The sequence below is a fragment of the Homo sapiens genome, chromosome 4 (genome assembly GCF_000001405.40).
Source record: "Homo sapiens chromosome 4, GRCh38.p14 Primary Assembly".
In the NCBI taxonomy this organism is placed as follows: Eukaryota; Metazoa; Chordata; class Mammalia; order Primates; family Hominidae; genus Homo; species Homo sapiens.
In genome coordinates this window covers 163,657,889-163,670,422 of record NC_000004.12, presented here as the reverse complement: position 1 = coordinate 163,670,422, position 12,534 = coordinate 163,657,889, and the positions used below count along the sequence as shown (strand labels likewise).

At 35.8% G+C, this 12,534-nt stretch overlaps 1 protein-coding gene and 1 long non-coding RNA gene across 7 annotated transcripts in view, besides 2 other annotated features; one reads left to right on the top strand and one right to left on the bottom strand.

Moving 5' to 3' along the window:
* Positions 1 to 3,048, bottom strand: part of LOC107986325 (uncharacterized) — a 30,340-nt gene extending 27,292 nt beyond the window's left edge. Inside the window, exon 1 of the long non-coding RNA XR_001741915.3 lies at positions 2,974 to 3,048. This is a non-coding gene — a long non-coding RNA (uncharacterized LOC107986325). The remainder of the gene's footprint in view (positions 1 to 2,973) is intronic.
* Positions 1 to 12,534, top strand: part of MARCHF1 (membrane associated ring-CH-type finger 1) — an 859,722-nt gene that overhangs the window by 713,597 nt on the left and 133,591 nt on the right. The window lies entirely within an intron of this gene.
* Positions 6,125 to 6,204: an enhancer, noted in NCBI's record as "active region_22103". NCBI's record gives its function as "activates an Ori minimal core promoter by ATAC-STARR-seq in GM12878 lymphoblastoid cells {active_cell/tissue: GM12878}" and the evidence as "EXISTENCE:reporter gene assay evidence [ECO:0000049][PMID:35858748]".
* Positions 6,815 to 6,864: a silencer, noted in NCBI's record as "silent region_15781". NCBI's record gives its function as "represses an Ori minimal core promoter by ATAC-STARR-seq in GM12878 lymphoblastoid cells {active_cell/tissue: GM12878}" and the evidence as "EXISTENCE:reporter gene assay evidence [ECO:0000049][PMID:35858748]".

Genomic DNA, 12,534 nt, shown 5'->3' with positions numbered 1-12,534 from the left:
CATAGATAGATAGATAGATAGATAGATAGATAGACAGACAGATAGATAGATAGATAGATAGATCCTACTCTAGGTCTATAATTTGTCTTTTGATGTCATGTTATTTTTTAATAAACAGAAATATTTATTATATAAAAAAATCTCTCTCTCCCCCCATGGCCCCTTCTTCCTGGTTTCTAGTTTTTATGTCTGACTTAGAAAAACCCTTATCAAACTAAAATTATCTTTCTGATTTTCCCTAATTTTATATCATATTTTTAATTTTAATCTTTTTAACCTAACTGAAATTTTTTATTATGTCTGATGAGCAATTTGTGTTTAATAAATGATATTAAAGAAAGAAACTTTGGAAGAAGTCACTGATGGTGGCTTGTAATTACAGACTAAGTAATTTGGATCATGATTCCTTCCAAAGACATCTTAAAAGCTGAAAAATTATAAAAATAATCTCTTTGTAGGCTTTGGAGAATTAAGAAGATGGTGAGAAAATAGTGGGCAATGATCCATAAGAAGATAAACATCTCAGGCCGGGAGCGGTGGCTCACACCTGTAATGTCAGCACTTTGGGAGGCCGAGGTGGGCAGATGCTTGAGCTCAGAAGTTCAAGATCACCCTGGCTAACATGGTGAAACCCTGTCTCTACTAAAAATACAAAAATTAGCCAGGTATGGTGGCAGGTGCCTGTAATTCCATCTACTTGAGAGGCTTAGGTAGGAGAAGTGCTTGAACTGGGGAGGCAGAGGTTGTAGTGAGCCAAGATTGTGCCATTGCACTCCAGCCTGGGCAACAGAGTGAGACTCCATCTCAAAAAAAAAAAAAAAGATAAACATCTCAAACATCTCAAAAGAAGACCTTGGCATTTGGGGCTACTTTTCCCTAGAGGTATTTACCAATTTTGGAAGTAGGAGTCCAGGACCTGCCCTCTCAGAGTCCTGGAAAATACACCCTGCTTTCAATGTTTCTTCCAGCCTGAGCCCAAGGATTAAGTGTTAGCAGGAAGTAGTGGTGCTTCACGTCACCTGCAGATCATTTCAAATTTCAAATTATTTCAATACCTAGAATAGAATTAACAAGATTCCAAATTAATAGTGGTACTACTTGCTTGGCATGAGCAAGCCTAAATTCTCACTTTGCCTCAAATTATTTCTGAGAAGCACTCTTACTAATAAAAGGTCAAATGATAAAAGATAACTAGGAGTACAATGAGACAAGACAATAAAACCAGAGCCAAGTCAGCGTTCACTCAGAAAAAGAAAGACCAATGTACGTACTCCAGGTATAAAGTATTTAATGTAAGAATTCGAGGCTTATGTCAACCCTGGAAGATCTGCAGAAACGAAAATCTGAGAAGCTTCCACTGAAAATCACTCAGCTTGAAGCACCAGAGAAGTGCTTAATAAAAGCAGCTGTAATTCTCCAGAAGTTCTCAGAAGCTCCATGAACTTTCAGTCTGCAGAACTGAAATGGATGGATCTCAAGGACTCACCAGAAAGCCACTGTGAATCTCAGGTCGGCCCACACACCTAGCTACAAATGCCTCTGGAGAATAATGACTTCTTTGACTCCTCTACCTCCCAAATCACTCCCAGAGGTCTCTCACTTAGCAGTAGGTAGGAAAGGGAATTTTGAGAACTGTGGTCCTTGGCTCCTTTTCTTGGATTCTGCTATATTTGGTTTTGCCTTTTGGAGATACTACCCCAAGCCATATTTATGCTTTCAACTTACCTTATTTGTGATTAGCCTGCTCTAGTCTCACCACCCAGCTCTTTACTGATGCTGTGATTCAACAATAATTAACATGCTCTGCTGTTTATCTGTCATCAATACAGTTTCCATCCCACATGTATCTGGTAAGGTCTTGATCTTTCCTAAAGACCACCCCACTTGTTATATACTCTAACTTTTCCTTGCCCATTCTACCTCCATCTCCTCTTCTTCCTTCTTAGAATGAGTCATTCTTTTGTGCTAGTCTCTATCATGTATGTGCAACGATCCTATTGATTTATTATGAAATAGTATTTTTTCATTAATTGTTTATATATCTACTTCACCTATAAGACCATTCTTGAGGGCAGGTACTTACTATGTCTTTCTTACTCATTTTCTTTATTGGCACTTAGCTCTCTGCCTCACTGAGGTTAGGATCCCAGCAGTTCTCTTGAATGAAATTCACTAATTCATTGCCAGCTTGGCAGTGAAATTTGTGAAACTGGATGTTTGGACTATGCCCACAAAACTGCAGTAAACTTTCCCCAAAGAATGGTAGTCTACATCACAGAGAGTGCTATAACTGTATCATGATCAGTTGGTCATATGTTGATGTCAAATAAACAGCATATTTCAATCTCTAAGTGCCAATATTGTTTCTAATGAGAAATAGCTGGCAGATTGTGATAGGGACCATGTACACATTCATTCTAACACAGATCTTTCCAAATTTGCTTTTTCAAAAGCAGGACCGTAAAAATCATACTTTTTATTAAATTTAAGTTTGGCAGCCAGGCGCTGTGGCTCACACCTGTAATCCCAGCACTTTGGGAGGCCAAGGTGGGTGAATCACTTGAGCTCAGGAGTTCAAGACCAGCTTGGGCAACATGGTGAAACCCCATCTCTACTAAAATTACAAAAAATTAGCTGGGTGTGGTGGCACACACCTGTAATTCCAGTTACTCGGGAGGCTGAGGCAGGGGAATAGCTTGAACCCAGGAGATGGAGGTTGCAGTGAGCTGAGATCATGCCACTGTACTCCAACCTGGGTAATAGAGCAAGATCCCATCTCAAAAAAAAAAAAAGTTTGTATAATAATGGACATTATGCAGTGGTATAACCAGGTAAAATTCCCTAAAACTGACAGAGATCTCCCCTGGAATATTCCATTATTCCAGAGACTTCTCACATAATTCCAATCTTAACTGAAGATTATGGAAAATAAATGTGTTTATTTTGATGTCAATAAAAGGTTTTATGACTCACATGTTCAATCTGTAGAACACTATTTTCAACATCTTCTAATATATATGGTATTTTTGTTGTTGTCGAAGATATCACTGTAAGGGAAAAAAATCAAATGTAGTTAGTGATTTAAAAATGTGGTGCTTTTCACTTGTTGGTGGGTCATCTGGTTCTAGCCTTGCAGTTTCAGCCAAGAATGCAGCTTGAGTCATTTATGATAATGCCACGCTCCAGCACAACTTCTTTTTGCCACCTGCAGTTCAAGAACCTCACCTTTCCTCCTGAATCTAAAATAAAAGTTGAAAATATAAATTTTTTTTTAAAAAAAGAACTTCATGATGTGCCTTATCAGAATGTCTGCAAGCAGTCACACTGCTGGATTTTTTTAGAAAATATTTTGTACCCAACAAACTACTAGCTTTAAAAAAAATACTCTTGAACAAATTTTTTGCTGATAAAATTTCTCCCGTATTATTTTAGCCACCAAATATTAATTAAACAACAAAGCAGGGTATAGATAGAAGATTAAAATGGTCCCTTCTCTCAAAAAGATTAGAGTCCTCAGAGTCCACGCATAACACAAGAACATCAAAAATGCAAGGTTTTTTCAGTTTTAGTGTCATTTCTATTTACCTTTGTTAAGCTAGAATTCTAAATTGTTTTTAAATTACATTTTAAAATGGGAACATATAACTGTGGTTAGAAACAGGAAGTATAAAGCAGAACCTTGAAGTCTCCTGAAAATAGGCCAAAAAAAAAAAAATCTGAAAATTTCTTGTGACAAGACATCTTCTGTCTGATCCTACTGTTCCCTGAAAATAAACTGAACAATGAAGACCATGATAAATGTTCTATCCATTCATTGAGAGTAAACACAGCAGTCAACTCAAGAAGGATGAGCTATTGCTATTTAAAATGGTTGTTTTATATTTATGGAGATGCAAATGGTGTGTTTGAACATGTACTTCCTTAAAAAATTCTGGATAATAAGTGCATGAAATAATCCCTATTGCTGCAACATTTAAACAGCACTGACACTGGGAACTTTTGAGGGGGTTGGGTGTAACTAAAAAGTGGAAGAATTGCTTAGGAGCAATAAAATAAAATGCACTTTTTTACTGCTCAAATACTCCTTCAAAATCAGTTTCAGAATCACCTACAAGATGAAGCTCATGTAATGGAAAAAATATATATTATTATAAAGCCGTATGTTATCAAGGTCAAAACTTTATCAAACCACGTGATAGTATCAAATGACACGTTATGGTTTTCAGAAGACTCGTGAACAAATGGTTCAGATGCTCTGGTTAACCAAGTACTTTAAAACTAGACAGAAGCAATGATATTAATGACTTGGGCCTTCTATTGAGGCTTGTTCTCCATATTTAGAGTGATGATGTATATACAATGCTTAACAGTAATTAAAGAAGACATTTTCAACTTCCCACAGGAGAATTTTAGTGAGCACGTCTGCATGTGGCATGAACATTGATGGTTGCCTGAAGGGGCGTAGAAGTGTTACCCATTGTAACCCACTGGGTACAGTATCCTCCTCAGCATTCATCCAAAAACTCTAACCTCTGAGAGATTATCTTGGTATGCCCAATGGAGGAGTAAAACTAATGGCCTATAGTTATTAAAAAGTAATTTAATATGTTTTTAGACAAATGTATAATAAAATGGGAAGTATCTTTGAGAGTTTATTTATAACACTGATTTATTCTGTCTGAGACAGTAGATGGCAGTGGTCAGATTTCTACTTAGGGTTTCACTATTCTTTGTTATGAAAGAAAACAAAATTTCACAACAAAAGGGAAGACGATGAATAAAGGGGACTAGTTCACAGTTGACCTTAACAGGTTTTTATTTTCTTAAGTGCTATACACGCTCCATCAATATCTTCACACGAACACTGACTGTTATCACATATGTAAAAATTGTTGTAACAAAAGTAAATTACAGTGTTAGTGGAAGAACATCATCAGTCATCTTTAATGCCTAAAAATGCACATTGAAAAAAATCTTTTTTTAAGATGGAAAGACTAGACAGTTCCTCTAAGTCATCCTGCCATAAGAACATCTGAACTTGTAGGCCATAGCTAATGAAGTTCTCACCCAAAGCAAGATCCCATTTTTGGCAGCATTTTCGGCATCTCTCTTCAATCATATCCTTGAAAGAACCTTTTACGCAATTAAAAAACATTGTAATTTGCATTTGTATCATTATTTTAGTCTACATTACTAAATATTATGACATCAAGAGTGACATGGGAATTTTCCCATATACTAAAATTCAGAGACAGAATCAATTTGCCTTAATTCTGTGGACTGTTCTGAAATTGCTAGAATCAGAGCCATAGCATTGTGTCCAGTAACCAACATTAAGATAGACCCAGCGGAATTACAACCTTTGTGTGCCTTAGACACTTTTACCTTGGTAGACCCCTCCTCCAAAAAAATATTAAAATTGTATTTTGTGACTATTTTAGCATATAGCTAAATATAATCTAATCTGGGTTCATTATGATATGTTCATTTTTATTATATTAATTTTTCTAATTTTAAAATTAAAATCAATATGCTTTCTTGGGCCTTTGAAAATATCATAGGCCCTAAGCCCTATGTATACTGTGCCCACTAAATATATTGACCCTGCTGATAGAATGTCTTTATTGTAGCCTATGGTTATTAAAAAGTAATTTAATATGTTTATAGACAAATTTATAATAAAATGGGGAGTATCTTTGAGAGTTTATTTATAATGCTGATTTATTCTGTCCTAAGCCCTATATATAATGTGTCCACTAGATAAATTGACCCTACAGATACAATGTCTTTATTCTAGCATGTTAGGAACTTAAAACATGATTTTTAGATTCAAATCCCCTCCTTACAGAATCTGGCTTGTTCCTAAGTAAGTCTGAGGGCAGCTGAGTTCTCTGTAGGTGGGGCACTGACTGGCTAGGGTGTTGGGGAAATCTCCTCCATTTCTTCAAAGAAAACATTTTAAGTTTCATCTCTTTTATATTTAAGCATTCTTTGTCATGTTTAATTTGGAAAAAGGGGCCTCTCTGCCTTAGAATTTTTTTTGAAAATCATTGATATGAACTGCATACATTATTTTAAAATAGTATCCAGTTACTGTATTTCAAAGTATCTTTTCATTAACTTGATCTTCTGTATACATCTGGGAATGTACTGAGCAATCTGTTCTCAGCAAAATCATTATATATGCTGTGAAAATTACATGTGGGAGTACATTTATTATTTTCTCAGGAAAAGGCAAATAGAGATGGTCTTACACATGTTCTTTGCTTTAAACTTCTTCCTGTTTGTTTCTTAAACATTTTGTCAGGCTTTTACAGCATTGAAAGTGCCTTTAGATTCCATTGCCTATGAAAAATAGGGTAGTGAGAGTACTCGGTTTATTTTTCAGTGTCCAACCTCCAGTTAGACAATGCAAATTCATGTATCACAGCTGATTGCATTTGTCAGCTGTTTGATGTTTTTGGCAGTTTTTTTTTTTTAGCTGCCCCATTTTTTCAAGTACATGAAAGCTTTGACATAACTGTGTTAATAGCTCAAAGTTCTGATAAACAATCTAGTAGTAAGAGGCTAATATTAAAGCCTAAAGATTTTTAGTTTCTATCAATTTTTATATACTTGATTCTCACTTCTGAATATGAGATCATAGATATTAGCATGAGCTTATAGATATTAGTCTATGTTGAAATCAGAAAGTTTCAGACATAGAAGAGATCTGGGGACACAGCATGTTGGAGAGAGCACCGCGCCAGGAGAGACGTGGCCTTAGCCCTGCCACCTATTGCTCACTCTTGGGTTAGTCATTTATCCTCCACAAGCTTCAGCTCCCTTGCCAGTAAAACCCATGATTGCAAAGATGAAAATAAGACAATTAGAGACAAGCAATGTTGCAGACGAGATGATCCAAAATCATTCAGAATATAAAAACATAGAAATGCTAGATAAAAATATAACAAATGTCCTTATTTATACTCAGCTGTGCTAGGAAAAAGAAAAGAAAAATCTCCAGCAGTGAGAAAGGAAGAGAGAAACATAAGCCAGAGAAATTGGCCTGAGAGCTGACAGTGTGGCTGCCCTGGGGGGTGGTCAGTTGTGATCATCTAGTGGCAAGGGTGTCAGTGCCCAGGCAGAAACAGAAGATAAAGCAATGGGCCTGAGTGGGATGTACACTTAAACAGCCCTAAATCTAAAAAAAAAAAAAAAGATGATTTAAAATACTATAGTCTCTGTGTAAGCATCCACTAGGAAAAAATATCCAACTATCCACACAGAGAGATAAAAAGAAGCTTGACTTTTTATTTTGGCCTGAATTCTGTGTATACAAGAAAAAACAAATTCTCTGAGTAATGTAATCACAGACTTATATTACACTCCAGTTAGAAGGTTAAATTTGTATTGTTTGCATGACCTGGGAATCCCCTAGTTAAGAAACATTTTTTTTTTTCCAGGCCAATAATAACCCGTGGCAAACAAACACAATCTCTCTGAAGAAGGGGTGAGGTTACTGTAGTGCAGACAGTCGCATCCTTAGTGGTGATAAGACCTTGACTCCTCTTTCCCATATTTGCCTCGGAATGCCGGCCTTAGCGTGTGCCTTCAAACAAGAGATTGTACGATTTTTTTTTTTCTCAGTGAACTGACAAAACAGAAAGAATAGCTGCAGAATTGAGAAAATTTTCCCAAAAACAATCCGGCCTGAGTACCCTAGAGGGAAAGCCACCACTAGCCGGAGACACACATAGACCTAATCAGCTTTTGAGTGAGTGTGTAATACAACTAATATCCAGAGATCAACAGATATTTGAGGAAAATTTCTATCAGAGACAGAGAGAGATGGTAACAGACGGACTTAGAGCAAGTAGAGACAACTAAAGCCGCAGAGGGCTGAAAGGGAAGATTCTGGGACTAGAAAGGAATGTGCTTGGATATTACAAATATGAGAGCAGAAATAAAAAATAATTTGGAAGTTTGGGGGAAAAAAGGAAAAGAAAACTTCCAGAAAGTATGACAAAAAGAAAACAGAAGAGAAAGAGTTAGAAAATTTAAGAATTAATTCAGGAGTTTAAGCATCCAAATAATAAGAGTTCCAGGATGAGAGAACAAAGAAAACAATACTTGAAATAAGATGAATAAGAAATAAAAACAGTACTAGAAACAATAAGAGTTCCAGGATGAGACAGCAAAGAAAACAATATGTGAAATTTCATTATTTGAAATTATCAAGGAAATAATTAAAGAAAATATCCAAAAACTTAAAGACATAATTTCCAGATATCATGGACCAACTGTGTACCTAGCAAAATGAATGGTGGAAACAAATGCTACATCTTACACATACCAAAAAAGGAAGAAAAAAAAGATTTTATTCCAAGAATCAAGAATCAGGATGGCTCCAAACTTCTCATAACCCTGGAATTGTTTTTTAAAAAGGAGCAATTACTTCACATTTTTGAAATAAAGTTATTTCCAATCCAGAATTCTATATCCAGTCAACCATCAATTGAATGGCATGATAGCATAAAAATATTTTCAAAAATTAAAGTCTGTCCTACGCTATGTAATTAGATTTGTATAAAACTCTAGAAAATCCAAACTAATCTGTAGTATTAAGTAACAGGAAGAAATCAGCAGTTGCAAGGGGAAAAGGGAGAGGAAAGAAGATACACTGCATGGGCAAGAAAATACTTGTGGGTGATTGACACGCTCACTCACTTGACTATGTGGATGGTTTCAAACATCTACACATTTCTCAAAACCTATTAAATTGTATGCTTTAAATATGTTGTTTATTGCATGTCAATTATACATCAATAAAGCTATTAAAAACTTTTTAAAGTATCAAAATTTTGCATCCCGTTCTCTGATACTGACATCTGTATTTTTTTGAAAAAAAGAAAAGCATCTAGAAAAATGAAGATACTGGATTCAGGAAAAAGGGCTTCCAAAATAGGAGAGACACAAAGGGAATCCCCAGAATGATGGCAAAGAAAGTTGTCAGGGCAAAGCAACAGCTTGAAATCATGCCTAAAAAGCCAAAATTTCAGATCACAGAAGAACAGAAGGCTCCAGAGGAAAGTACTATGAAAAACAAAATAAAATTAATAGATTTTCTGATGTATTCGAGTGTGGAGAGAAAATATAACTTCTAGCAAGATGAGGGATGAATTTCAGGGAAGATCATAGAAAATTAAGCAAAAAGCAAAAAGACAGCTAGTAGCAAAAAGTTAGCATAGCAGGTGACTTAATATTCGTGTAGCCAAATTATTATACAATCTTATTTGGAGAACAGAAGAAAGAGATGGATGGGCAAGGGAGGAGTTCAGGAAGAATCAGAAAGACAACTAAATTTCCACAGTAACAAGTCAATAAACAGCATCCAATTAAATAAATAGTGATAATACAACCAAGATTATCAAATTTTTAGGAATACAAAGTGTAAATACCTAAAGAAATATAATACCTCAATGAGCTGAAGGTGATGTGTCTACAGAGGAAGAATCAGAGTGAAAATTATAACCTAGGTCTACTTTGAATTACATAATAGATGAGAAAGAATGGGGAAACATGAGTCAGAGAAAAATGGGAATTTTTTTGAATTTGGATTCTTTAATAGGCTCAAAATAAGTGTCATACAGAGTGTTTATTCACAGGCTTGAATGAGAATTGAAGAAATTCTGACAAGTTTAATATCCGTCTGTGATTAAGTCTGGCAGAATACAGGTCATTGAAACAGACATTTTAATTGAGTTTTATAAAACTATACAAATCTTCCAAGTGATCATAAACCAGTTTCTCATTACATGTGCTTTAACGCAACTTTTTGAAAGTCAAACAATTACAGTTTTTTTTTTTTAAGTTTTACTTTAAGTTCTGGGATACATGTGCAGAATGTGCAGGTTTGTTACATAGGTATACATATGCCATGGTGGACTGCTGCATCTATCCACCCGTCATCTATGTTTTAAGCTCCTCATGCATTAGGTCTTTGTCCTAATGCTCTCCCTCCCCTTGACCCCCACCCACCGACAGGCCCCGGTGTGTGACATTCCTCTCCTTGTGTCCATGTGTTCTCATTGTTCAACTCCCACTTATGAATGAGAACATGCAGTGTTTGGTTTTCTGTTCCTGTGTCAGTTTGCTGAGAATAATGGCTTCCACCTTCATCCATGTCCCTGCAAAGGACTTGAACTCATTATTTTTTATGGCTGCATAGTATTCCTTCATATATATGTGCCACATTTTCTTTATCCAGTCTATCATTAATGGGCATTTGGGTTGGTTCCAAGTCTTTACTATTGTAAATAGTGTTGCAGTAAACGTACATGTACATGTGTCTTTATAGTAGAATGATTTATAATTCTTTGGGTATATACCCAGTAATGAGATTGCTGTGTCAAATGGTATTTCTGGTTCTAAATCCTTGAGGAAACGCCTCACTGTCTTCCACAATGGTTGAACTAATTTACAGTCCCACTAACAGTGTAAAAGCATTCCTATTTCTCCACATCCTCTCCAGCAGCTGTTGTTGTTTCCCAACTTTTTAATAGTCGCCATTCTGACTGGTGCGAGATGGTATCTCATTGTGCTTTTGATTTGCATTTCTCAAATGACCAGTGATGGTCAGCTTTTTTCCGTATGTTTGTTGGCTGCATAAATGTCTTCTTTTGAGAAGTGTCTGTTCATATCCTTTGCCCACTTTTTGATGGGGTTTTTTTTTTCTTGTAAATTTGTTTAAATTCCTTGTAGACTCTGGATATTAGACCTTTGTCAGATGGGTAGATTGCAAAAATTCTCTCCCATTCTGTAGGTTGCCTGTTCAGTCTCATGATAGTTTCCTTTGCTGTGCAGAAGCTCTTTAGTTTAATTAGATCCCATTTGTCAATTTTGGCTTTTGTTGCAATTGCTTTTGGTGTTTTGGTCATGAAGTCTTTGCCCATGCCTATGTCCTGAATGGTACTGCCTCGGTTTTCTTCTAGGGTTTTAACGGTTTCAGATTTTACATTTAAGTCTTTAATCCATCTTGAATTAATTTTTGTATAAGGTGTAAGGAAGGGGTCCAGTTTCTGTTTTCTGCATATGGCTAGCCAGTTTCCCCAGCACCATTTATTAAATAGGGAATCCTTTCCCCATTGCTTGTTTTTGTGAGGTTTGTCAAAGATCAGATGTATACTTTTAAGATAACAGTGTTTAATGAAATTCATGAAAATCATGAATCCTTAGATTTAGGAACATTTATACCTTCTGAGTAAAAATCTAGACTAGAGAAATGTAGTGAATGCAATACACAAAAGACAATGAGGAAGAGCAGAACAAGAAAGATGGCTGACTCTAAATAAACTAATACCATATTTTTCAATGAAAACAATAAAATCCAGAGAACAACAGCATACTATTATGAAAAGATTTTATAAATTGTTAATATAAAATGATATATCCAGCTAAATCATTTTTTTTTCTTTTCTTGATCCTTTTTATTTTAAGTTCCAGGGTACATGTGCAGGATGTGCATGTTTGTTACATAGGTAAACATGTGCCATAGTGGTTTGCTGCACCTATCAACCCATCACCTAGGTATTAAGCCCAGCACACATTAGTTATTTTTCCTAAAGTTCTCCCTCCTCCCACATTCCCCCGACCATCAGGCCCCAGTGTGTGTTGTTCCCCTCCCTGTGTCCATCAGTTCTCATTATTCAGCACCCACTTAGAAGTGAGAACATGCAGTGTTTGGTTTTCTCTTCCTACATGAGTTTGCTGAGGGTAATGACTTCCAGCTCCATCCATGTCTCTGCAAAGGACATGATCTCTTTCCTTTTTATGGCTGTATATTATTCCATGGTCTTGATAGTAGAATGATTTATATTCCTTTGGTTACATACCCAGTAATGAGATGGCTGGGTCAAATGGTACTTCTGGTTCTGTGTCTTTGAGGAATTGCCACACTGTCTTCTACACTGGCTGAACTAATTTACATTTCCACCCACAGTGTAAAAGTATTCCTATTTCTCTGCAACCTCACCAGTATCTGTTATTTCTTGACTTTATAATAATCACCATTCTGACTGGCATGAGATAGTATCTCATTGTGATTTGCATTTCTCTAATGATCTTTTATGACATTGAGCTTTTTTTCACGTTTATTGGCTGCATGAATGTCTTCTTTTGAGAAGCATCTGTTGATGTCCTTTATCCACTTTTTAATGGGGTTGTTTGTTTTTTTCTTGTAAATTTGTTTAAGTTCTTTGTAGATTCCGGCTATTAGACCTTTGTCAGATAGATAGATTATAAAAATTTTCTCCCACTCTGTAGGTTGCCTGTTTGCTCTGATGATAGTTTATTTTGCTATGCATAAGCTATTTGGTTTAATTAGATCAATTTTAGCTTTTGTCGCAATTGCTTTTGGTGATTTTTGTCATGAAATGTTTGCCTGTGCCTATGTCCTGAATGATATTGCCTAGATTTTCTTCTAGGGTTTTTACAGTTTTCGGTTTTACATTTAAGTCTTTAATCCATCTTGGGTTAGTTTTTATATAACATGTA